The 27718-nt window shown below is 36.0% G+C and overlaps 1 long non-coding RNA gene across 2 annotated transcripts in view; it reads left to right on the top strand.

Moving 5' to 3' along the window:
• LOC105370234 (uncharacterized) overlaps positions 1-27718 on the top strand; it is a 75553-nt gene that overhangs the window by 14419 nt on the left and 33416 nt on the right. The window contains exon 2 of one of the 2 annotated variants that reach the window (XR_942013.2): positions 8911-9160. This is a non-coding gene — a long non-coding RNA (uncharacterized LOC105370234). Of the gene's footprint in view, positions 1-8910; positions 12978-27718 lie in introns of those variants that run through there. The other variant, XR_942014.2, reaches the window with a different exon arrangement.

The raw sequence follows: 27718 nt of genomic DNA, 5'->3' as shown, positions 1-27718 counted from the left end.
CACTCTTAATGTTATCATTTGGAACAATATTTCATGTTAATTTCCTTTTATCCACTCTTTAACATGTAAAAGAACATTTATTTCCTAATATATCTGGCCATCTCACAGTCCTTTTGTCTTTCATAATTGCCTGATACGTTCTGTGCTAAATTGAATCTACCTGTTTTTTCTGCCTGTTGAACTATTACAGTTTCTTCAAGGGTGAGTTCACATTACATATTCTCAAGAGAAACATATTCCTAAACTTCTTTAAATTTCTCTCCTTTTTACTGTGATAAGACTCAAGGCATGAATGTTTAATTAGGTTAGCCTGTTTCTCCCTATTCATCTACCAGCCCCTTACAGAAAATTTTGTACATCTCAATTTCTAAAACCTGGCAGTATCAATAATGAGGTAAGTTATGCTCACAGAAATCTAATTAGAAAGGTTATATACAACCTTATGTCTAATACATAAAGATTAACCTTAAGTATAAACAGATATGTTAACAATCACTGTGTTATCGAAAGCAAAAATAGAATATCAATGGGATTTTATCACATTGTGGTATAATTTTGGAGGCAAATTTACTTCCAGCTCATTATTTTTTAATTAAAGTTTTGACAGTGGAAACAGTCCAAATAAAAATTTCTAGTATTTTTGTTTGTTTGTTTTAAAGAATTTGCAGCATCTCTCAAATTCTATTGGATATTTGGCTAACTGTGGTAAATTTTCTTTTTTCACAATTTGATTTTCCCTTTAAGAAAATATATCTAAAAATTATGAGAAAGACAATCATTAGTACTACACAATTCTGTATGTATGTGTGTGTATATATATATATGTATGTATATAATAATCAATTTAAAAATCTGATAATTTCTCTGTAATTTATCCCAAGCAGCTTCCAACAGTGAGTTCTAATGTAGGTTATATACAAATAAAAATTTGCAGAGTCATAAACAATATTCTCTACTTTGTGTTTTATCCAATAGATAGGTAACAATTTACCTTGGGATTAGTATTTTTCCACAAGAATATTATGTGCTGTAAACAGTCTTGAGAACAGAGAGGAGAAACACAGAAAAATACATTGTATCCATCTGACAAAGGTCTAACATCGAGAGCCTACAAGGAATTTAAACAAATTTACAAGAAAAAACCCCATTAAAAAGTGGGTGAACATCCAATTGGATGAACATCCACAATATAAAGTGAATATTAAGTTAATATACCTAATTTAAAAAAAAAATAAAAATGCAAATATGGCATTATGAAATTTTCATTAGTGGTAAATATATTTAAAAGAGGTAATATCCATTATGTATCTCATTTTAAGAAACAACATTTTGAAACTTTAAGCTAGGCAATTTTAAAATAATTTAAATTGAATTTTAAAGTAAACTGGCAAATGTAATATTTTAATATTTTGTTATTTTTATTATTTACAGATGTTGTATATTCTGATAGCATAAGCCCAAATACAGACCTAAAATATTATACTTGTTTCTTAAAAAGATTATTTGTGTTATTTACAAACATAAAAATTGTACAAAATGTTTTGTCTTCATGTATTAGTATGTAACTAAATGGTGAAGAACATTGATTATGACAAAAATATTTATCTGTTTTTTTACCTAAAAGATTTATATTCTAAACTTTTATACTCTAAAATTTCCTAGCAGGTAAACAAATACATAATTTAATAAATTTAATATAGTTGTGTCATACTTAGGTGAGGCCAAATTAAATAAGGCAATATTTTTCACCTAAAATTAAATGTAAATATGAACCATGCCACCACAAATTTTATGCAGACTAGTTCTTTTTGATTCCAGGTATGTATCAGTTTGCTAAGGCTGCCAAAACAAAGTACCTCAGACTGAGTGGCTTAAAAATTTGTCACAGTTCTGTGGGATAGAAGTCTAAGACCAAGTTGTCGGCAGGGTTGGCTTCTTCTAAGGTCTCTGTCTTTGGTTTACAGATGGCTGTCTTCTCCCTGTATTCTTGCATAGTCTTCCCTGTGTGTGTATACATGTTCTAATATCCTTTCCTTATAAGGAAACCAATCATATTAGATTAGGACCCTGGCTAATGACCTCGTTTTTACCTACCTTTGTAAAGTCCTTTCTCCAAACACAGTTATACACAGAGGTACCACCTGTGGCAACGACTTCAACATAAAAATTTTGGGGAACACAATTCAGGCATAAAAAGTTCCCAAAGAAAGTTACACTGTTTCATTTCTTCATTGTTATATGGATGATATGAGATTAAGGTGTTAATCACAGAACAATTTTAGTGAAGAAAAATGGATGAAAATTATCTGAAAAGTAGATGGGTCATAATGGTGACATTATCAGGCTTACTAAATTTTTTTAGACTTAGAATGAGAACTATAATACTTACTAGTTTTTGTTTTTTTATTGTTTGTTTTTGTTTCCCATACGTGTTTGTTTATTAACTTATGGAGCCAGACATCTGCTGCTCCCGTGACTTTGTAGACCATATACTGATCATAGTAACTGCATAGGATGTATTACAGGTCTGAGTCTTAAGCAATTATACCACATAATTAAGAAAGGGAAGTGATTTTACACTCAAATATCAATGAAATACCTATTAGTATCTGAGCTATTCAAATTATATCTTTTAGTAATCACAACTTCATAAATGTAGCCTTTCTTCAAGGTTTTATCCATGAAATTAAAATATGTGCATCTGAAAGACTCTCACTTCCCTATCCCAAGTTCTAGAAGCCTTGATTAAAGGACATATATTTATTTGAACCATTGCATTAGTTAATGCATGTAATAGACACAGGAGAAGATATTGAATTATTTCTCTTTGTCCCAACATCAATTATTTTTTAATAAACTAGAGGTATCTTCTGGTACATATTAATGAACTCCATGTAAGAATATCTTAAGGAGCCCTACTTTAAATAAGAAACTTATCACACTAATTTGATAGATAACACACATAAAAGCTCCACTTGTTTGGCATCAAACATAACAGTGTTCACTTCTACATTACAATTTGATTTAATAAGATGAACTCTTTTATAAGTTTATATTCAAGTTTTATAGACAGTCCAAATATTCCCTTTCCAATGTTCAACATTCCTTCTCTCACTTTTAATTGATTTATCATGATACTACAGAGTTTTAGAACATATCCATTTGAAATAGCTTACATTATACTATTTTATGACTGTAACCCTTAGCGTATTAAACAATTTCATATATCCTTCTTATTTGTTTAGCTTCTTTAATTGTTATAGTTATTTTTATATTATTTCCTTAGTTGCTACTTTAGCTGTTTCCCTGATGTAATGCTGATTAGCCTTACCCTAATGAGTACTGTTGCAGACTCCCAGTGGAAGCCTATAAGCAATAACACAGTTTAGCATTTCAGTCCAACAATTGTTCATTTCTACCTTAATTTCAAGCATTACAAGAGATCATTTAAAATATAATTATTAAATTTTTAGGCTTAAAATAATTTTCTCAAATAATAAATATGTGAATCAAATAATTAAATTACATTCCTTTCTTTATGTTTTGAGTTTGTGAATACAGAACACTACTAACATCTCTATAATATATAGCTCTTAAATATTTATGTTTGAGAACTTACAAATACATAAAAATTAAATATAAAGAGGTGAAATTCATTTTAGTTTGAAACGTAGGAAGGCATTAAAGCATCTAATACTTCAGGCATCACTGTATGTCATCAAGCAAAATACTTTTTACATTAATTTTAAGGCAGAAACTTAGAACTCATTTTCAGCATGAGAGGCTAGTAAAAGAAGACACATCAGGTCAGAAAAGACAAAATCTCTTCTGTGACACAAGCCACAATCACAAACAGCTCTCCAGTCCTATAAAACCTGTGGAAGTAAAGTATAGACCTACTCCAGTTTTACATAAAATAAAATTTCCTATGCACGAAACATGCAAAAGAGTGAGAAATACACTGTAACTGCAAATTGTTGTGTTAGGCATCTTCCTCAAAAACTTCTCTTTTTTTTTCCCCAAAGGAGAATTTTAGGAACGTCAGCATTGGCATTTTAGGCACAGGGCTAAGAATTAAGAATGGTTTGGTGAAAAATATGAATAAAATATCATGCTTTACACTCTTTATATTCAAGAATGATGCAGTAATTTTGGTACTTAAAAATTCATGCTAAATAAAAATATTGTAGATAATGTTTTTGTTGATATTAGTTATAAACAAAAAAAACATACAAATGTGTTTCCAAAATAAATATAAGGATTATATCAGACTACAAACACATACTGGACTGCAGCACCATGTGTACTGCTATTGCAGAAATAACATAAAATATTTATAAGATGTAAATCGTATGACATGAATTAACATAAATTAAACTAACAAATGTTGGATTAATTCTAAGCAATATTCATTAAAACAAGCATTGTAAAAAAAGATGAGAAATATAATATTTAAGTTGGATAGATTTGAAAAACTCTTGAGACTTTATATCACTGATTTATTATAAGTTATTTGACCCAATGATTTATTGAGCCAGAAAAGTACTGCTTTCATTGAGTTGACATTGTGATAAACTGTTCTCAGACCCAAATATTATTCAACTTGAGCCCTCGTTTAGTTTAAATAGAAGTTTTGGTCAAAATATTTCTTTCAAAAACCTTCTTCTATATGAGCAAGTAACAGATGAGTAGGCATGACATAGGAGGTCAAGTGATATCTTGTGAAGATAATTTTTTTCGGTGGGGGCCGGAGTTTCACTGTTGTCGCCCAGGCTGGAGTGCAATGGCACGATTTGGGCTCACCGCAACCGCGGCCTCCCAGGTTCAAGCAATTCTCCTGCCCCAGCCTCCCAAGTATCTGCGATTATAGGCATGCATCACCACTCATGGCTAATTTTGTATTTTTAATAGAGACAGGGTTTCTCTATGTTGGCCAGGTTAGTCTCGAAGTCCCGACGTCAGGTGATTTGCCCGCCTCAGTCTCCCAGAGTGCTGGGATTACAGGTGTGAGCCACCACGCCCAGCCAAAGATAATTTTATAGTGGTTTATATTTTGAAAGAAAATGAATACATTTACTTCTGAAATAACATAAGGGCATTGCAGCACACATGGGAGGCTGGGAAAAGTAAAACCAAGCCACATAATATAATGATTTTCTGCCCATCACTGTTTTCATTTTGCTCTATTTCTAATTGTCGTTTTCCTATTATTTTCGTAGTAATAATTATAAAAGAAATGTCCAATTATATAAGAGAATTAAGAATGAGAATATAAATCCCATTTTCTAATTCACTCGCTCATCATTTTCCCATTCTACAATGTAAATCACAACTGTTTTCTGTATATTTTCTAATAAATATTATACCCATGTTTAAGAATGTCACTTTCTAGATATGTCTATGTATACATCCATATCTATATTTCTATATTAATATTTTTATAATAAACAGGATTTCCCTATGACATGTTATAAAACTTGTGTTTTGCTTTTTTAAAAATTGTAACAATATAATAAATATTTTATGTCTGCATGTATACATATTTTTTCCTTCTGATTATTATTATATAATATTGATCTCTCATTATTAAAATAATCACTTCCTATATATGGATAAACAATTTATTTCCAGATTTTGGTCTTATAAACAATTTTGTAATGGTAATGATAGTGAATATGAAAGAGGGTAAAGGGGAGAAAGAAGGAGAGGCAGAGAGAGGGAGGTAAAAGAATGATAGATAATTATTACCCTTATGTGACTTGTAAAGTAAATGCAACCTAAGTGCAAAAGTTATCCTTTAGTCATTTAAGCAAACACCTGGGGAATCTTTCACCTTGCCAGTGACTGAGTTAAGCAAAAGCCTCTGCCACTCTAGCTAATAGACTGAAAAAAAATGTGTCTGCTTGTAGGCTGCTGTGCAAAGTTGTTTGGTTTGCAAAAAGAAAACTGAAGAGAAGATCTCCTATTGTACGGAAGAGCAGACAGGCGTAGCTTGTGAGAGGGCACTTGTTTATTTGCAGTGGAGATTCCCATAGGTCACTACCTGCAAAATTTTCAATGCTTAGGCTATTACTCTGTGCCTGTGAATATCCATGTTCCTCCTTCCACTCCAGATTTGGTGTTCCTTGACAGCTAGGAAGCTAATATTAAGTACTGTATGACTGCCTGTTTTCCTAGTCCACTCTTTGCACCATCTGTGCCACTTTGGATTCTCCAAGATGACATCAAGGCAGGATGTGATATGCAGAGTTTGTTCAAGAGAAACAGTTGTGACAAATAAAGAGGAAGAGAGAATAACACAGAGAACTTCTAGGTCTTGATGAATATCTAATACCTTTTAAAGGAGAGAGAGAAAAACAGAGTGGATAGAAAAATCTGCCGGCTGCAGTGCAGCTCTAAGAAACTTTGATCAGATCTATGGGAATCTTCTAACAAAAGTTGCTCACAGAAAGACCCCATATCCAGGAAAGAATGGCATAGTTCCAGGTCCTTTGCTGAGTTTAGTGACTGTAAGAAGGCTGGGAGAAACAGAACAAAGATGTCGCTGGAGAGTGAGTCAAATATACTTCACATAGCACGTTCTCTTGATGGAAGATCTAGATAGAATGTAACGATGGAAGATCTAGATAGAACATAACCTTGTTTATCATATTGCTCCTATCTTAGTATAATTTCATTTTCTCTGCAATTGCAAATACTGCTGCTCTCTCTACAGTTGAGACTCCATTCAAGCAGAATACATCATTGTGTGTTCATGTTTGTGTAAAATATCACGTAATACTAATATGTGTAATTTCATTATTGGCAAGACAAAAAGAGTTTACTAGTAGAAATGTTTATTATCTTCTCACTGTTTAAACATTCAGACTTTGTACAATCTATTTCCCAGCTATAGTGGATTAACTTTAAATCTCTTAACCAAAATTAACTGCAAACCTGTACTTAAATACAAAGAAAATTTCTCAAATAACTAATGATGTTGCACATCATTTCACTTGCTTATTTGCCTTTCATGTATTTTATCTGGTAAAGTGTTCAAATACGTTTTCTTTTTTTAATTTAGTTCTATATTCTCTTATCAAGTTATGAGTTATTTATATATTCCAGATAAGTGCTGTCTACTGCAAATCTAATGCAAGCAACTTGACAAATTTTAAGTTTTACAGAGGCTACCTTAGAAAGTAAAATAAAAATAAAAAATTTATTAAAAATATATTCTATTTTACTCCATGCAATCAGAATATCATAATTTCATCATGTAATAAATATAAAATTACTCTTGAAGTATTTTTTTACATTAAGTCAATAAATTTAGTGTGTATCTATCTTATACTTCCAAGACATCTCAATATGGATCAGGCTAATTTCAAGCACTCAGTAGACACTTGGGGCTAGTCTGCCATATTTGTATCTTTATTTTTAAAGTGATTTTTTATAGGTAGCATATAGTTTAGTACTACCCATTACATTTCATCTATGTGACAATTTCTCTTAATTGTGCTAAGATCATTTAGATTTAAAGTTATTTTTAGTATAAATGGGTTCAAATTTGTCATGCTATTTTTTCTAAACATTTGTTTCCATTTTTGTTTCTCTCTGCTTTACTTGAGATTAAGTATTTTTGCTATATTTTATATTATATGTTAGTTTATTAAGTACTATTTTTTCTTTACTTTTGTAGTTTTTCAGGGTTTATAGTATATACCTTTAAATTATCATTGTCTACCTTACAGTAATATCACTTCACACAGAATATAACATCTTTGCAACACTATTTTTCCATATCTCTATTTCTAAATGCATAATTTTGTCATACATTTTACATATACTTATGTAATAAGCACCACAATACATTATTACTATTTTTGCTTATTCGGTGACTTATCATCTAAAGAAAGTTCAGTCTCACATTTACATTCCTTGTATAAATACAGATTTGCATATGGAACTATTCCACTTCTGCCTGAAGAATTTCCTTTAACATATCTAGTAGTGCAGTTCTGAAATTGTTGAATTCTTTTAGCTTTTGTAGGTCTGGAATACATACACATTTTACCCTTTGTATGTAATGGTAATTTTACTTGGTATACAATAGTAAATTAATTCTTTTCTTTCCTTTTTAAAGAAGTTGCTCTACTATCTTTTGGAGTGTATTTTCTATGATGAGAAGTTTCTGTTATTCTTCACATTTATCATTTGTGCGTGTATGCTGTTTTCTCTAGCTGCTTTTAAGTTTTTCATTTTTTACTCATTTTAAGCAACTTGACTTAGATATTTATTGGTGTAATTTATATTTGTTGTGCTAAGAGTTTATTCAGCTTATTGGATCTGAGTTTATCATTTTTATTGAATTAGGAGTTTTTCAGCCTTTATTTTCTTCAATGATTTTCTGTCCTCTATCCTCCATGGAGGACTGCTATTACACCTACAGTAAGCCATTTAAAATTTTGTCCACATTTTCTGGGTCTCTTTATATGGTTTTTCCCCAATATTTTGCATTTCATGCTTCATTTTTGATAGTTTCCATCGCTAAATAGTCAAGTTTACTAATCTTTTTGTCTCTCATTTGCAATCTCTCAGTACCCTTAGTTCATATTTTCTTTCCAACATTGTATTTTTTATCCTTATTCATTCAATTTTGCCCGCTTAACATGCTCAATCTTTCCTCTAGCATCTTTTAAAATATTTTTTCTATTAATTCTAACATACATGTGATTTCTGGGTCTTTTCTCATTGTTTGATTTTTTTTTTTTACTATATGTCATATTTTCTTGCTTCTTTGAACATATCGTAATTTATTTATTGAATGTCAGGTACTGTGTTTATAACTTCTTTAGCACCACATATTTTAGTGTTAATATTGTTTTGAAACTCAGTTAAGTTACTTAAAGCCAATTTAACTATTTTTAGATGGGCTTTTCAGAGGATGATGGCCAACTAGATGCAGCCAGGAGGAACATCTGCCATTCAGGGACTGGGACACTGGGAAGAGTGGTACACTCTGAGCCGATCTCTGGAGGGAAGGCATTGAGAATGGATGCAGGGAGGACACAGATGTTGGGCTGAAGAACAAGGAGGCTCGGAACTCTGGACAGGGCTACCACACACTGGGACTCATTCCTGGCCTCAACAACTCCTGGAGAAGGCACGAGTTAAGAAGGTAAGGAGCAACCTGCTCTCACCACATGCCTCTGAAATCCTGTTAACAGGAGACTCCACAACTCCCATGGACACTTGAGCTGGGAGAGAGAGAGCTGCTTAGAGACTTAGAGAAGTGGTAGGGGCAGGACTCCAGCCTGAGTGAAGCCCAGAGTATTTGGTGTGGCAACATCTGCAGTGGAGCGTGGCCATGGATGCCCATCTCCAAAGGCTCACTTTGGTCCCCTAGGAGATATTAGACTTAGAGGACCTATCAGACCTGAACAGAGCAAAGTGACTCTGCCCGTGAGACAAAGCCAGTCCAACCTGTACAACCCCCTGTCTGCTGCCCTCTCTTAGGCCCCAGACTAGCCACACCTGCTTGCAATGTAGCCTTCATGCACAACCAGGGGACTTACATCATACTTTCTGTGCTGGCAAACCGTGTCTGACCATGAGAGAGCTCCAGCAGAGTGGTCCCCACTGACACACCAGGCCACACACAACCTCCCTCTACCATAGCCTCCCTGCACTACTTGGTTGGCTTGCATTCGCCCATGGCCACACACCCACTCTTTTGCCACCATGCATGCATGTGGGTGATGTTGCCTCCCCTTCCCCACCAGCACATGCGTGCACATGCACCCCACTCTACCACTGCTGCTGATGCGACTTCACCCAGCCCACCACCGGCTGCCAGTGTGAACGCATGCACAGAGACCAGCAGCCCCACATTGCCACCACCAGTAGTGTCAACACGGACACAGAATCCACCAGTCCTGTTCCCACCAGCACTCCACCCCCATCACCAACACTGCTGCCAATGAGAATGTGTCCATGGATGCCACTGGTCCTGCACCACCACCACCACTAAAGTGAACACACACGGAGGCTGCCAGCCCTATGCCCGTCAGCACCTCACCACAGCCAATGAGAAACTGCCACTGCTGCTGGCACATGCAGGTGAGCACACATCCCACTGCCATCACCTGGTGAAGCACTTTGGCTGTCACCACCCATTGGATTGTTGTGGCCAGCAGTCCAGGAACTCTTCAACACCTCCAGGACAGCAGATTCCACATAGGCCAATGGAACAGGATAGAAAGCCCAGAAATAATGTCACACACCTACAACCATGTGATCTTCAGCAAAGTCTACAAAAAACAAACATTTGGAAAAAGACTCATCATTCAATAAATGGTGCTGGGATAACTGGCTGGGCCATATGCAGAAGATTGAAACTGGACACCTTCCTTTTACCATCTACATAAATCACCTAAATATGGTTTAAATATTTAAATATATATCCCAAAACTATTAAAACTCTTGAAGGTAACCTAGGAAATACCATGCCCAACATAGGAACGGGCAAATATTTCATGACAAAAGGCCAAAAGCAATTGTAACAAAAATGTAAATTAATAAATCAGACCTAATTAAACTAAAGAGCTTCTGCGTAGCAAAATAAACTATCAATAGAGTGCACAGATAACCTACAGAATGGGAGAAAATATTTGCAAACTTCGCATCCAAAAAAGTCTAATATCCAGAATCTATAAGAAACTTAAACAAATTTAGAAGCATAAAAACAAACAACCCCATTAAAAAGTGGGCAAAACACGAACAAACACTTTTCAAAAGAAGACATACATGCAGCCCAAAAACATACTTTAAAATGCTCAACATCACTGATCACTAGAGAAATGCAAATCCAAACCACAATGAAATGTCATTTAGAGCTCACAGCAGTCAAAATGGTGATTATTAAAAAGTCAACAAAATAACAGATGCTGACAGGTTATGGAAAAAAGGGAACTGTATTTTTTTTTTTTTTTTGAGACAGAGTTTTGCTTTTGTTGCCCAGCCTAGCGTGCAATGGTGTGATTTTGGCTCACTGCAAACTCCACTTCCCGGGTTTAAACAATTTAACTGCCTCAGCCTCCCAAGTAGCTGGGATTACAGGTGTCCACCACCATGCTCGGTTAATTTTTGTACTTTTAGTAAAGATGGGGTTTCACCATGTTGGCCTGGCTGGTCTTGAACTCCTGACCTCAAGTCATCCACCTGCCTCGGCCTCCCAAAAAGGGAACTCTTGTACACTGCTGGTGGGAATGTAAATTAGTTCAGCCATTATGAAAAGCAATTTGGTGATTTCTCAAAGAACTCAAAGGAGAATTTCCACTTGACCCAGTAATCCTATTACTGGATTTAGTTTAGTTCTCATAAGTGAGAACAAAACATTGAGTATACATGGGCACAAAGAAAGGAACAACAGACACCAGACCCTACTTGAGGGTGGAGAGAGGAAGAAGGGTAAGTGTGAAAAACTACCCATCAGGTACTGTGCTTATCAACTGGGTGATGAAATAATCTGTACAACAAACCCCAGTGATAAAATTTACCTGTATATCAAACCTGCACACGTACCTCTGAACCTAAAATAAAAGTCAACAACAAAATAAGAAAATCTTTCATTTGCTGGAATAAATCAGTACATGATAAAAAAAATTTTAGATATTCTTTTTGAACTGTTTTGTGAGACCAGAGTAGTTTTTAATTTAGGAATAATGTTGGCCCACTATTGAGACAATAATCTTCTAAATACTCTTTCCTATTCCCCTTCAGTTATTAGGTTCTTCAATCTGACTAGTGGCAGCAGAATTATTTCCAGCTTTGTGTAAGCTACAAGGATTTTTCCATCTTTTCCTTTTGGGTGATCTTTGCTTTGACCTCAGGTGTTTTTCTCACAGATAGAGGCTGATTTGTAGGCAGCCGAAAACTAAGGTAGGGGAGGAGGCTTTGTAGAACTCAGAACTCTTTTCCTACACAGTTGTCGCCTGAGCACTCGCTTCTGTCCATATTTTAGCTGACTGGCCTCTCCAGCTTCCCACTCCTATTTCCTCAGTTCATGAAAACCAGTTTCCAAGTACCTTTTTTGGCATTGCGTCCAGTAAAGGATTCCAGGGAGTATGCTAAGCCAATTATAGGTTCAATTCATTTTATCTGTCTTTCTCATGGATCACTCACCTGTGCTATTTTATACTTCAATGTCTGAAAACCCTTGTTTTACATGTTTTATCTTTGGTGATTTTTTGGTTTGTTCTGTTTTTTCTTTTGTTTGTTTGTTTTGGTAGTAGGGGAAATATACTCTCTTAAATTCACCTATTCTGGAAGCAGACATTTCTCAGATTATATTTATATCATTTGTTTCTATAACATGTGACACAAATTACAAATGCCCATGTCATCTCCCATCCCAGAACTAGCTACACAGCATGTGAAACTGAGCAAGTTTCATAGAATTAAGGAGGTAATACAGCCAATTTTGATTGTTTTAAAACAACATGAGTACTATGAAACAGAGGAATAGCACTGGCTTAGGAGTCTTAAAAAATGTGTTTAGGCATTATATTTTCAACTTTTACCCAAGGTAATCCTAGATATAATTATTAATTTTTTAATTTTTATTTTCTCATTTGCAAAATGATAATGGTTATAATTCTTACATAACACATTAGTACAAAATTCAACAAACAATATAAGTCTACCATCTTCTTCTTACCAAAAATATTTTTCTTGGATATTTGTCTTGCTGAGAATGCTGTGTTATGCAATTTAATATCATGTTGATCTTTTAAAATATTGTGTGACATTTTAATAGATATTTGCTCAATATATGTGCATGTATATCCTTCTGTGATGTAAGAATATATATGTTTGTGAATGTATTTAGACAGGTATTTCAATCATCCATGTTCAGTTGACATTATTATAGTCTAATTAATAATGTAAAGTTCAATGCACTATTTTAATTAAAATACTCATTTTTTTATTTTTCATTGTTTTTGTAGCTTCTTTCATATTATTTTGTAAGAATTGGTGTCCTCTTCAATTTCATGCATCAATGTTATAGTTTTTATTATACAAACACTTGAATTCTTTGTTTCAGTTTATTCCTAGGTATTTTGTTTTATATATAGCTATTGTAAATAGGATTACTTTCTTGAATTCTTTTTTGTGTTGTTTGCTGTTGGCATATAGAAATGCTACTGTTTTTTAATGTCTATTTTGTATCCTGCAATTTTACTTAATTTCTCAGTTCTAATAGTTTTTTTTAGTGGAGTCTTTAGGTTTTTCCAAATATAAGATTATCTTATCAGCAAACAAGAATAATGATATGGTTAGGCTTTGTGTCCCCACCCAAATCTCGTCTTGAATTGTAGTTCCCATAATCGCCACGTGTCATGGGAGGGACCTAGTGGGAGGTAATTGAATTATGGAGGCGATTTCCACCAGACTGTTTTTGTGAAAGTGAGTAAGTTCTCATGAGATCTGATGGTTTTCTAAGGGACTTTTCCTCTCTTCATTCATTCTTCTCCTTCCTGCTACCATGTGAAGAAGGTAGTGTTTGCTTCTCTTTCTGCCATGATTGTAAGTTTCCTGAGGCCTTCCCAGCTATGCAGAACTGTAAGTCAATTAAACCTCTTTCCTCTATAAATTACCCAGTCTTGAGTATGTCTTTATTAGCAGCATGAGAACAGACTAATACAGTAAATTGGTACCACAGACACTGGGGTGCTTCTATAAAAATACCCAAAAATGTGGAAGCCACTTTGGAACTGGGTAACAAGCAAATGTTGGAACAGTCTGGAGGGCTCAGAAGAAGACAGGAAAATGTGAGAAAGTTTGGAACTTCCTAGAGACTTGGAAGGCTTAAAAGACAGGAAGATGTGGGAAAGTTTGGAACTTCCTAGAGACTTGTTGAATAGCTTTGACCAAAATGCTGATAGTGATGTGGCAATGAAGTCCAAGTTGAGGTGGTCTCAGATGGAGATGAGGAACATTTTGGGAACTGGAGTAAGGGTCACTCTTGTTAGGCAAAGAGACTAGTGACATGTTACCCATGCCCTAGAGATCTGTGGAACTTTGAACTTGAGAGATTTGATTTATGGCATCTAGTGGAATAAATTTCTAAGCAGTGAAGCATTCAAGAGAAAGCAGAGCTAAAGGTTTGGAAAATTTAAAGCCTGACAATGTGATAGAAAAGGACGCCCCATTTTCTGGGGAGAAATTCAAGCCTGCTGCAAAAATTTCCATAGGTAACAAGGAGCCTAATGTAAGTCACCAAGACAATGGGGAAAATGTCTCCAGAACATGTCAGAGACCTTTGCAGCAGCCCCTCCCATGACTGGCCTGGAGGCCTAGGAGGGAAAACATGGTTTTCTGGGCCGTGTCCAGGGCCCCCAAGCTCCGTGAATCCTAAGGACTTGATGCCCTGTGTCTCAACCTCTGCAGCTGTAGCTAAAAAGGACCAATGCACAACTCAGATCATTGCTTTAAAGAGTACAAGCCCCAAGCTTTGGCAGCTTCCATGTGGTGTTGGGACTGCCGGTGTACAGAAGTCAAGAATTGAGTTTTGGGAACCTCCCCCTAGATTTTAGACATACGGAAACTTTTGGATGTCCAGGCCGAAGTTTGCTGCAGGGGCAGGGCCCTCATGGAGACCCTCTGCTAGGGTAGTACAGAAAGGAAATGTGAAGTAGGAGCCCCCCTACAGAGTCATCAATGGGGCAGTGCCTAGTGGAGCTGTGAGAAGAGGGCCACCATCCTCCAGGCCCAAGAATGGTAGATCCACCAACAGCTTGCACCATCCACTTGGAAAAGCCACAGGTACTCAACACCAGCCCATGAAAGCAGCCTCAAGGGAGGCTGTATGCTGCAAAGCCACAGGTATGGAGCTGCCCCAAGTTGTGGGAGCCCACCTCTTGCATCAGCATGACCTGATTGTGAGACATGGAGTCAAAGGACATCATTTCAGAGCTTTATGGTTTGACTACCCCACTATATTTCAGACTTTCATGGGGCCTGTAGCCCTTTCATTTTGGCCAATTTCTCCTATTTGGAAGAGATGTATTTACTCAATGCCTGTACTCTCATTGTATCTAGGAAATAACTAACTTGTTTTAGATTTTACAGGCTCATAGGTAAAGGAATTTGCCTCATCTCAGATAAGACTTTGGACCTGGACTTTTGAGTTAATGCTGTAATGCGTTAAGGCTTTGGAGGACTGTTAGAAAGGCATGATTGTGCTTTAAAATGTGAGAACATGAGATTTTGAATGGTTAGGCTTTGTGTAGCCACCCAAATCTCATCTTAAATTGTAGTACCCATAGTACTCGCATGTTTTAGGAGGGACCTGGTGGGAGGTAATTGAATCATGGAGGTGATTTATGCCATGCTGTTCTTGTGATAGTGAGTTCTCACGTGATCTGATGGTTTTATAAGGGTCTTTTCCCCTCTTTGATCATTCTTCTTCCTGGTGCCATGTGAAGGAGGACATGTTTGCTTCCCCTTCTGCCATGATTGTAAGCTTCCTGAGTCCTCCCAGCCCTGTGAAATTGTGACCCTATTAAATATCTTTCCTTTATAAATTACCCAGTCTTGGTTATGTCTTCATTAGCAGCATGAGAGCAGACTAATACAAATAATTTGACTTTTTTTTTTTTTGCAATTTGGATGACCCCCTTTTTTTAATTTCAAGTTTTAGATACAGGGTGGTACATGTGCAGATATATTACATGGGAATATTGTCTGATGTTGACATTTGGAGTATGAATTCTGTCAACCTGGTAGTGAGCATAGAACCTGATTGATAGTTTTTTACCCACTCCTCCCACCTTCTAGTAGTCTACAATGCCTATTGTTCCCATATTTATGTTCATATGTGCCCAATGCTTAGGTCCCACTTATCAGTGAGAATACACAGTATTTGGTTTTTTGTTCCTGCATTAATTTGCTTAAGATTATGGCCTTCAGCTCCATCCATGTTACTGCAAAGAACATGACTTTATTATTTTTTATGGCTATGTAGTATTCCATGGTGCATATGCTTCATGTTTACTTTACCCAATCTTCCATTGATGGGCACCTGGGTTTATTTCATGTCTTTACTATTGTGAATAGCATAGCAATGAATGTACAAGTGTATGTGTTTCTTTGATAGAATGATTTATTTTGGGGGGAGTGGTGGTATATACCCAGTAATGCGATTGCTGGGTCTAAGGATAGCTCTGTTTTAAGTTCTTTGAGAAATCTCTGGAATACTTTCTACATTGGCTGGACTAACTGACATTCCCACCAACAGTGTATATGCATTCTGCTTTCTCTGCAGCTTTTTGACTTTTTAATAATAGCCATTCTGATTGGTGTGAGATGGTATCTTATTGTGGTTTTGATTTGAATTTCTCTGATATTTGGTGATGCTGAGAACTTTCTTTCTTTCTCTTGCCTGATTGTTTTAGCTAATAGTTCAAGTACTATGTTGTCTTGTTCCACATATCAGAGGAGAAAGGCTTTCAGTTTTTCTGCATCAGTATGATATACTAGCTGTGGGTCTGTTATATATGGCTTTCATTGTGTTGAGGTATGTTCCTTCTATACCCAGTTCTTTTAGAGTGTTTATAATGAAGAGAGGTTACATTTTATCAAGTGTTTTTTCAGCATTAGTTGAAATGATCAGAAGATGTTTTGTCCTTCATTCTGTTAATATACTGTATCACATTAATTGATTTGTGTATGTTGAGCCATCCTTGCATCCCAGGGATAAATCCTACTTGGTCATGATGAATTATCTTTCTAATTTATAGTAGAATTTGGTTTTCTAGTATTTTGTTGAGGATTTTGCAACAATATTCATCAGAGATATTGGCCTGTGGCTTTTATCTGCCATGTCTTTTCCTGGTTTTGATATAAGGTAATACTGGCCTCATAGAATGAATTTAGAAGTACTCTCTCCTCCTCTATTTTTGGAATAGTTTGAGTATGATTGGTATTATTTCATCTTTAAATGTTTGGTAGAATCCAGCACTGAAGCCATCGGGTCCCAAGCTTTTCTTTGCTGACAGACTTTTTACTATAGCATCAATCTTAATACTGGTTATGGATCTCTTCGAGTTTTGGATTTCTTCATGGGTCAGTCTTGGTTGGTTGTATGTGTTTCAGAATTTATCTATTAATTTTTCACCATTTAAAATGATATCTGCTTATGTAGAGTAAAAATATGTTTAATGTTTGTTTTTTCTTTTTATTTATCTTTTACTTACAGTTGTTATTAGAAATGCCTGCTGGGTTTTTGAAATAACTTTTAAGCAGTATACTTCATTTTGGAAATCTGATAAAGTGTTTGTATTATTAACTACTGTTCTTGGCAACAGGAGACTGAATCTTCCTTCTAGCTTAAACAATAAAATTTTGTATGAAACTAAACCATTTTGCATGTATTACTGGGCTGATACTTAACAAAAATAATAGAAAGCCTGTGAAATAATCAGCTACACATTGTTTTTTCCTGAGTTTGTCTACAAAATAAAAATTTGAGCTTTTGCTTTCTGATTCACAGAGTGCTAGGAAGAGGGGCTACCAGTTAGGATCTGTCTCAGTTGTATAATCTCATAGGAGATTACTACAAATATTAGAATGGTAAAAGGGTATACCAGAAATCAAACTCAATACACAGAAAGGGACACAGAGATGCTTGTTTCTCTCCACTTTAATTTGGTTAGAGATAAAACAAAATCATTCCTAAGAATTCATAACCATAGCAAGACACCAGATACTTTTGTAGCCCAAATCCATGCTGTGTGGTCCACAAAGATTCAAGCAGAGAATTTAATTTAGTTTAATGTACTCTCATATTAGTCATGCCTCAGGCAAATTGCTGAAGCAGAAGTCAATATTCTCATGAGGAAAGCAACTTTATTCTGTGGTCTTGAAGAGATATAAAGCCCAGTGGAATGTAAAGAATGCACAGTCAAAAATCTCTTAGTGCAAGAAGAAACACCACATTATGTACAAATAAAAACCACTAAAAATAACAGAAGTAAATTTTAAACCATGAAGCAATTATTGGATTTTATAGTTAAAATAAATACATGTTATATATTTAAAGAAATAATATTGAAAGACAAAACTGTTAGCAGCACATAGGAATAATGTTAAAGAATAAAGGAGATTTGGGAAGAACCAAATACAGCACTGACGAATTCTAAATTATTATTTCAGATCCAAAGAAAGCCAGGTTATCCTATATTGTTGCTGAAATATAAAGGAGTTGTTGCCCTCTAGTGTATTTCTCAATCTCTTAGTAAATGAAGTATCTTTTGTACCTTGTTATGGTACGTAGTTGGGGAATAAGTGGGTATGTATGTCACATATGATAAATCCACTCCAACTTTCCTATCTAACATTTTCAATTCTCTCCTTCTTGTCATGCCAGCTAAGCAATGGCATTCAAAATTCTCTAAATGTAGGCCAGCAATGCATAAAAGTTTCAGTCAAACAAACAAGTGATTAGAGGCACCTTCAGCTATACAAAATAATACATTAAACAGAAATCACTGAGAAATACACATGTATCAATGAATTTGCTTGTTTCAGTGTTATATTACACCCTCCTTGTTTTAACACCATTAGAGTCCATTACTACACATGTTCCTCAGGTATTTGGTGATATGTATTACCAGGGTGATATGGTTTGGCTGTGTTCCCATCAAAATCTCAACTTGAATTGTATCTCCCAGAATTCCATTGGGACCCATGGGGGAGGTAATTGAATCATGGGAGTTGGTCCTTCCTGTTCTGTTCTTGTGATACCGAATAAGTCTCAGGAGATCTGGTGGGTTTATCAGGGGTTTCCACTTTTGCTTCTTCCTCATTTTCTCTTCTGCCACCATGTAAGAAGTTCCTTTGTCCTCCCGCCATGATTCTGACGCCTCCCCAGCCATGTGGAACTGTAAGTCCAATTAAACCTCTTTTTCTTCCCAGTCTCAGGTATGTTTTTATCAGCAGCATAAAAATGAACTAATACAGTAAATTGGTACCAGTAGTGGGATGTTGCTGAAAAGATTCCTGAAAATGTGGAAGTGACTCTGGAACTGGGTAACAGGCAAAGTTTGGAACAGTTTGGAGGGCTCAGAAGAAGACGGGAAAATGTGGGAAAGTTTGGAACCTCCTAGATACTTGTTCAATGACTTTGACAAAAATGCTGATAGTGATATGAACAGTAAGGTCCAGGCTGAGGTGGTCTCAGATGTAGATGAGAAACTTGTTGGGAACTGGAGCAAAAGTGACTTTTGTTATATTTTAGCAAAGGGACAGGTGACGTTTTGCTCCTGCCCTAGAGATTTGTGGAACTTTGAACTTGTGAGAGATGATTTAGGGTATCTGGCTGAAGAATTTGCTAAGCAAATAAGCATTCAAAAGGTGATTTAGGAGCTGTTAAAAGCATTCCATTTTAAAAGGGAAACAGAGCATAAAAGTTCAGAAAATTTGCAGCCTGATGATGCAGTCAAAAAGAAAATCAATTTTTTTGAGGAGAAATTCAAGCTGGCTGAAGAAATTTGCATAAGTAACAAGGAGCTGCATGTTAATCACCAAGACGATGGGGAAAATGTCTCCAGAGCATGCCATGGGTCTTCATGGCAGCCCCTCCCATCACGTACCCAGAAGCCTAGAAGAAAAAAATAGTACTGTGGGCGAGGCCAAGGGTCCCCATGCTGTGTGCAGCCTAGGGATTTGATGCCGTTTGTCCCAGCTATTCCAGCTGTTGCTAATAGGGGCCAAGGTACAGCTCAGCCCATGGTGTCGGAGAGCGAAAGCCCCAATCCTTGGCAGCTTCCATGTGGTGTTGAGACTGTGGGTGCACCCAAGTCAAATATTGAGGTTTGGGAACCTCCACCTAGATGTTGGAAAGTGTATGGAAATGCCTGGATGCCCAAGCAAAAGTTTGCTGCAGGGTGGGGCCCTCATGGAGAAACTCTGCTAGGGCAGTGCAGAAGCGAAATGTGGGGTTGGAGCCCCCACACAGAATCCCTACTTGTGCACTGCCTAGTGGAGCTGTGAGCAGAGGGCCACCGTCATCCAGACCCCAGAACTGTAGTTTGACCGAAAGCTTGCACTGTGCACCTGGGAAAGTCACAGATACTCAACACTAGCCTGTGAAAGCAGCCGGGAAGGGGGCTATATCCTGCAAAGCCACAGGGGCAGAGCTGCCCAAGACTATGGGAACCCACCTCTTGCATCAGTGTGACCTGGATGTGAGAACCCTGGAGTCAAAGTTGATCATTTTGGAGCTTTAAAATTTGACTGTCTTGCTGGTTGTTGGACATGTATGGGGCCTGTAACCCCTTTGTTTGGGCCAATTTCTCCCATTTGGAATGGCCGTATTTACCCAATACCTGTACCCCAGTTGTATCTAGGAAGTAACTAGCTTGCATTTGATAATACAGGCTCACAGGTGGAAGGGACTTGCCTTATCTCAGATGAGACTTCACACTGAAGACTTTTGAGTTGATGCTGAAACGAGTTAAGACTTTGAGGGACTGTTGATAAGGCATGATTCGTTTTTGAAACATGAGGACATCAGATTTGGAGGGGCCTTGGGCAGAATGATATGGTTTGGCTCTGTCCCCACTCAAATCTTAACTTGAATTGTACCTCCCAGAATTCCCAGATGTTGTGGGAGGGACCCAAGGGAGGTAATTGAATCATGGGGGCTGCGCTTTCCCATGCTATTCTCATGATACTGCATAAGTATCACAAGATGTGATGGGTTTATTAGGGGTTTCCACTTTTGCTCCTTCCTCATTTTCTCTCGCCACCACCACGTAAGAAGTGCCTTTCACTTCCCACCATGATTCTGAGACCTCCCCAGCCATGTGAAACTGTAAGTCCAATTAAACCTTTTTATTTTCCCAGTCTCAGGTATGTTTTCTTTACAGCAGCATGAAAATGAAATAATACACAGGGTTCTGAAATTCTTTTGTATAGAAGTTATTTATTTCTCATAGTGTGTACCTGAATCTTGAACCATGCTTAGATTTGATCCTATTTATATTCTACCAGAAATGGAGGTTATTTATGGTGGATCCTGAGGAGAATGAGCATTTCTTTTCATGATATGTACACCAATTGAGACTATCACAAGATTTTCAAGCTGAGAAAGTCTAGTTGTTTTGGACACAGAAAGAAAAACTACTTTTACTAGTAAAAAAATCTCAGAAATATTTGGGTGTTCAAGATTACCAGTTGCTTCTTGATCCAGCCAGCTGTACCCATTTCATAATTCACAATTCACTTCTTCCCAAGTAATGACCTAACTTTGGCATGAAAAACCAAAAAGGCTATGAATGTAATTCTCATTGTAATTTGGCAACTCATACAATTAAATATTGTTTACCTTTTTAGCAATATCAAATCTGTAGATTCAAAAAACAAGAGACTCTTTTAGAGCTGTTATGGAAATTGTTTCTTTCTCAGACTATAACTTGAGACGAAAGTTAAAGACATTAGCTTGTCATTTTCTTTTTTAACACTCAAGTACACTCAAATAATATCACCCACATCAGGGTCTTTACAGTCACAGTCACTCACAATGATCAAGTTTCAGAAGCCAGTTGAGCTCCCAAGGCCAGTGGTTGAATTGGCACTTCATCAAAATCAACAACAAGTGATTGCAGGCTTACTTGTGATGCCATTGTATGCCACAGTTTACTCATCTTATATTCCATTTCTAATTGGCATGTAATTCAGAATTGCAGGCAAGCCCAAAAGGCACGAACAAACCATATCTAAATTTCCTCTGTTGAGTTCTTCCCCTGGGACCACTTCTGATACAAATTCTGCGGTAGTCTGAGTCAAGTCAGGAGACATAAACCACACAGTAAGTTAAACAGGTTGAAGTTTAATACAAATAATTAACTATGATTAAAATAACTATAAAATATAAGGAAACACTATATATTTTGCTAGGACAGAGAGAGAGGACTCAAGAAAAGACATACATGGAAGAGGTTCAACCTTCACTGGGGATGTTGTGGTGTAGCCACTGGATAGCAGAGAATTTTGCTTGGTGAACCAGGCCAGAGCTGGTCTGAAGATGCTGGGAAACCTCTGGAGTCCACATTATGTAGGGGCTTGCTGAAGGAATCTGGACAGCCTGCTGCTTCTGATTTTCATGTCAAGGGTGCAGAGGAAAGGTAATTGCTAGACTGGTGCTGGGCTGGGAGAACAGATTCTGAGGCTGTGATCAGGTGCCACTGGATATTCTCACACCCATACTCATCACCCTATCCCACACTAGAAAATGCAAAAGGTCCCTTACTCTATATTATAATGTCTTTAATAAGCCCTCTAATGATAAAGTTAGTTATTGTGCTCATTTTAAATAAGAAATGCTTAAAGGAATGTTATTTTTTTTATTGTTATTTTTTTGAGTCAGAGTCTCACTCTGTTGCCAGGCTGGAGTTCAGTGGCACTATCTCGGCTTACTGCAACCTCCATCTCCTGGGTTCAAGTGATTCTCCTGCCTCAGCCTCCCGAGTAGCTGGGACTATAGGCACATGCCATCACACCAGGCTAATTTTAGTGTTTTCAGTAAAGACGAGGTTTCACCATGTTGGCTAGGATGGTCTCGATCTCCTGACCTCGTGATCCACCCACCTCGACCTCCCAAAGTGCTGGGATTACAGATGTGAGCCACTGTGCTAGGCCATAAATGTTATTATTTACTTAGATAAATAATATATCTTATGTATATATATTAAATTATGCATTTGAAGTTGAGAGGCAATGAACTGATAACCGAAACCTATAATATATTTGGCAAAATCTTACCAGAGTTTAAAAGATTGTTATAATTACTATTATTTTAATGTTCTTTTATCAGAACTATTCAGAAATGTTTATGTTCATGAAAAACTATAGACTCAAAAACATAAGGGTCAAAGAACAAATACTATATGGAGCAATTGACATACCATCTAAATATAATACTTTAATAATATTCCTCAAAAACTAGTAAGTAAAACAGACAAAATTTGTAAGAATCTAGACTTTAATCACCTAATTAACATATTTAATCTAAGAGATATACAACCAAATATGAAAATAAATTTTTAGTCATAAACATGGATATTTTCCAAATATTGGTATTTTTGTTTTTCAATTCTCAACTCTATTTAGGAACACCATTCCTTAGGCTTTCCACTCACAAACTCAATCTATTTTTTTGAGATGTTGATAACGGTTTATTGATTTTTTACAACACTTGATAGTTCTCCATGGTATTAAAAAGAACACATCTCACATTTAAGAATTTTATGAGAGTCCTTATAGCATCTTACCAGGCAGGCCTCTAGTGAGTAGTAGTATCCAAAACAGGAAGCTTCCAAGTAGCTGTAAAGCAGGCAGGCCTAAGCTTTCCATCCCTGTGTCTTTCACACATATTAGAACTGCAAGTTTCTATGACTGATTTTACATCTTACTGGAGTCTCTGACAATTAAACTTTCTTGGAATTCTCTTGACTTTTAATTTCTGAACTTAAAGTTTTTATCCAGCCATTGAATAATATATACATTTTGAGAAAAAATTACTGGTTTGTTATAGGGCCCTAGTGGAGATAGATGATTTGCCCAGACATATCTATCTTGCAAGAGTTTTCTCTGAACTAAGATATTAAAGGTAGGGTAAGTACCAGAAAGTTCTATCATAAAATGGAATAATAGTGCAATCACAAGTCTAGCTGGGCCCCTGAAGTCTCAGCTGGCTACAAAAGCATCATCATTTTTGGATACAGAAATGACTTCCTGATGTCAATCATGGATGAAAATTTTTAATTTTCCTGTGAAGATTATGACAGTAAATATTTAAAGCTTTACAGGCTGTATTAGTCTGTTATAAAGAACTACCTGAGACTGGGTAATTTATTTTAAAAAAGGTTTAAATGACTCACAGTTCCACAGGCTGAATAGAAAGCATATTTTGAAGGCCTCAGGAAACTTCACAATCATGGCAGAAGGTGAAGGGGAAGCACACACATCTTTACAGTGGCAGAGCAGGAGAGAGAGAATGACGGGGGAGGTGCCACACTTTTAAACCATCAGATCTCATGAGAACTCACCCACCATAATGAGAACAGCGTAGGTGAAACTGCTCCAATGATCCAATCACTTCTCACCAGGTCCCTCCCTCAACACGTGGAGATTACAATTCGATATGAGATTTGGGTGGGGACACAGAGCCAACCCATATCACAGGCTATATGATGTTTATTGAAGTAACTCAACTTTGCCATTGTAGTGTGAAAGCAGCCATAGAAAATTCATAAATGAATGAGCATGGCTGTATTCCAATAAAATATTTTATAAACTGCAGTGATCTAGATTGGGCCTGTGGAACCTAGTTTGCAAAAACCTTGCTTATGTTATTAACTATCTGATAAAAATATCTAATTTCCTGATGGGACTTCATGTCAGAGAAGAGGACAGTTCCAGTGGAGATATGACATAATGATGACAGAATAATAACTAGCCATAGAACTAGGTAACTCATGATATGGGCTCAATGTTAGGCAAGGAGGTTTGCCATAGAATAAATTACCCCAAAGTTAACTGAACTATATTTCTAGAGAGTATCGGACTGTAGCTAAGGATCATAATGTAGGATCAGGTCACTGCCTTACCCAAGACTATACTACTAAGTTAGACCAATAGAGGTCACAGACTTGTGCAAGTGAATAGAAATTGTTGTCATTAATAGCCTGCAAAAATGATACTACTTGAAAAGAATCTTGTATTAAAAAGAAAAAAATCTGAAATGATAAAATTGACTAAGCATGTGCATCTGATTCTGTGCGTATCATGACAATAAACTATTGTAAAAAAAGTTAAATTCTAAAAAGACTTAATCTGACAAATGAGGACTTAACCAACATGATTTCCCAGTTTACTATAATTATAGAGCAATTAAGACAGTGCTGTGATGGTGAAATTATTGACATTTTGATGAATGAAACAGGATAAAGTGCCCAGAAAAAGAACTGCACATTTATGATCAATTGATTTTCAGCAAAAGTGTCAAAGCAAAATAATGGGGGAAGGAAAATCTTTAAACAAAATATTCTGGAAAAACTGGATGATTCTATGGCAAAAAAGAATATAAATATAATCTTACATCATAAGCAAAATGAATTGAAATGGACCATAAACCCAAATATCACAACTAAAACACAAAACTTGCAGAAGAAACTGTAAAATAAAATATGATTCTTATATAAGTATCAAATTATAACTTTATAAACATCAAAAACTATTGTTCTTTAAATAATATTATTAAAAAGAAAAAATGGCAGTAGGAAATTATTAGCAATACATGCATCTGATTATTAATGCATATGTAATTTCTAAAATAATTAACCAATAATGAGAATACAAGTAACACAATGAAATATTACCAAACATGTTGAAAAAGCTTATGAAAAAAATACCCAATAGACAGAAAAAATAGATTGTCAACATCAGGGAAATGCAAATTAAAATAACCATAAGCTATCATTACATACTCATTGGAGTTGCTAAAATTGAAAAGACGTGCATAATTCAAGGTAAGGAACTAAGTGAAACAACTGTGGTACAACATTGTACAGTTGTTTTTCATTTCGCCATTTCACTTTTTGTTATTTAAAAAGGAATCAAAAGCCTGTATTTGTACAAAGACTTGTACTCAAATATTCACAACAGTTTTATTTCCAAAAGCCAAAACCTGACATGTCCCAACAATCTATCAACAAGTGAAAGGACAAACAATACTTATATGCCCATATTTTGAAATGCTACTTATCAAGAGATAGAAATGAACTTCTGATACATATAACAACGTGAGTTAATCTCAGACTCATTTTGCTGAATTAAAGGAGCCAAGCACAAGGCCGGGCGCAGTGGCTCACGCCTATAATCCTATCATTTTAGGAGGCCGAGGTGGGCAGATTGCCTGAGCTGAGGAGTTCTAGACCAGTCTGGGCAACATGGCAAAACCCCACCTCTACTAAAAATACAAAAAATAGAATAATGGTTCACTGCAGTCTGGAACTCCTGAGCTCAAGTGATCCTCCTGCCTCGGTGCTCTGGGTACCTGGGACTACAGGCATGCACCACTATGCCCAGCTAATTTTGTATTTTTTGTAGAAACGGGCTTTCACTATGTTGTGCAGGCTAGTCTCGAACTCCTGCATTCCAGCAATCTGCCTCCTCTCAAAGTGCTGGGACTAGAGACACCATGCCCAGCCAGAACACTTTTAAACCTTAAAAATTATGGAAATTTTGTAATATGTGATAATATAAATGAACTTTGAAGGACCATATGCTACGTAAAATAGGCCAGGCACAGAAAGACAAATACTGCATAATTCCACTTACATGAACTATCTCAAACAGTCAGATTCATAGGACCAGAGTGGAGTGGTGGTTACCAGAGGCTGGAAGAAGGTGAAAATGGGGAGTTACTAATCAAGGGGCAGGAAGTTTCAGTAAAGCAAGATTAACAAAATCTAGAGATCTGCTCTGCAACATCCCGCCTATGTTATCAACAATACAGTATTGTAAGCTTAAAAGTTTAAGATTAGATCTTCGTTAAGTGTTGTTACCACAATAAAATAAAATAAATAGTAAGAGAACCCCTATAACTTGTACAAGCTATCAATATATCTCTGCATATTTGTTCTGCATATATGTTTTAAAAACGTTGGCTGTGATATTACATTATACATGCATATAATATTTTGATAAGATATATGGCACTAAGAAATGCTGTGACTTGTTATGGGCCATATGTGTGCTTCTCCATTTGATCTTGTGTGCAAATTTTACAGAGCTTCCAACCTAACATATACATTTGTTCTCTTTATTTTCATAATAGCAGGGAAAAAAGAAAAAAGAGATTTTGTATGGGCAGGGTGTCAAGTTATATAGGATGAACTACAAAGTCTCTAAGAAAAGACATAGTTAAAATGACAAAAAGAGCCATGACATATTTTGGTGAGACAATTTCAGAAGTCTCCACAGTAAATGCAAAGGCAAAGGATATAAAGCACTCATGAGTTTGACATTTTTCTAGTTCAGCAAGAGTCAGTGTATCTGGGGAAGAATGTGTGAAAATGAGAGTTGCATTAGGAAAAAAAATAAGAAAAAACAAAAAGATCAATAGGGTTATATCATGTAAGAATGTACAGTCTTTGAGAAAGATTTTAAATTTTATTTTGTAAAAGGTTTGATGGTTTTGAGCAAAAATCATAATTATGATTATAATGGCTATGAAGGGATAAGATGTAGAAAATACAAAGAATAAGTAGAGTGTAGATGACATGAAAATGGATTTGGAGTATGACGATAATAGTTGGTGAAAGGTGGTCACATTTGGAATTTTTTTAAAGTAAACAGGACTTGGTGATATTTGAATAAAAGTTATAAAAAATAGAAGAGTTGAGAATAACCACTAGATTCAGGGATGAATATAGATGGGAGAAATTTCATGCCATTAATTGAGTTGTGAATGCTTAGGTAAGGAAAGAGATTGGAGAGGAGTAAAATCTTTACTTTGAACATATTAAATTGAGATGTATTGTACATACCTAAACAGTGATGATATGTAAAGAGTTAGATGGGCAGAACCCTGTATATACAGCAGTCGTAAAATGATAATTTTTTATAAATTCATGGATATGTGTGAAACAAATATGTAGAGAGACAA

Source organism: Homo sapiens, chromosome 13 (genome assembly GCF_000001405.40).
Source record: "Homo sapiens chromosome 13, GRCh38.p14 Primary Assembly".
In the NCBI taxonomy this organism is placed as follows: Eukaryota; Metazoa; Chordata; class Mammalia; order Primates; family Hominidae; genus Homo; species Homo sapiens.
Note: the sequence above shows the minus strand (reverse complement) of the source record. Positions and strands in the feature narration are given on the sequence as shown.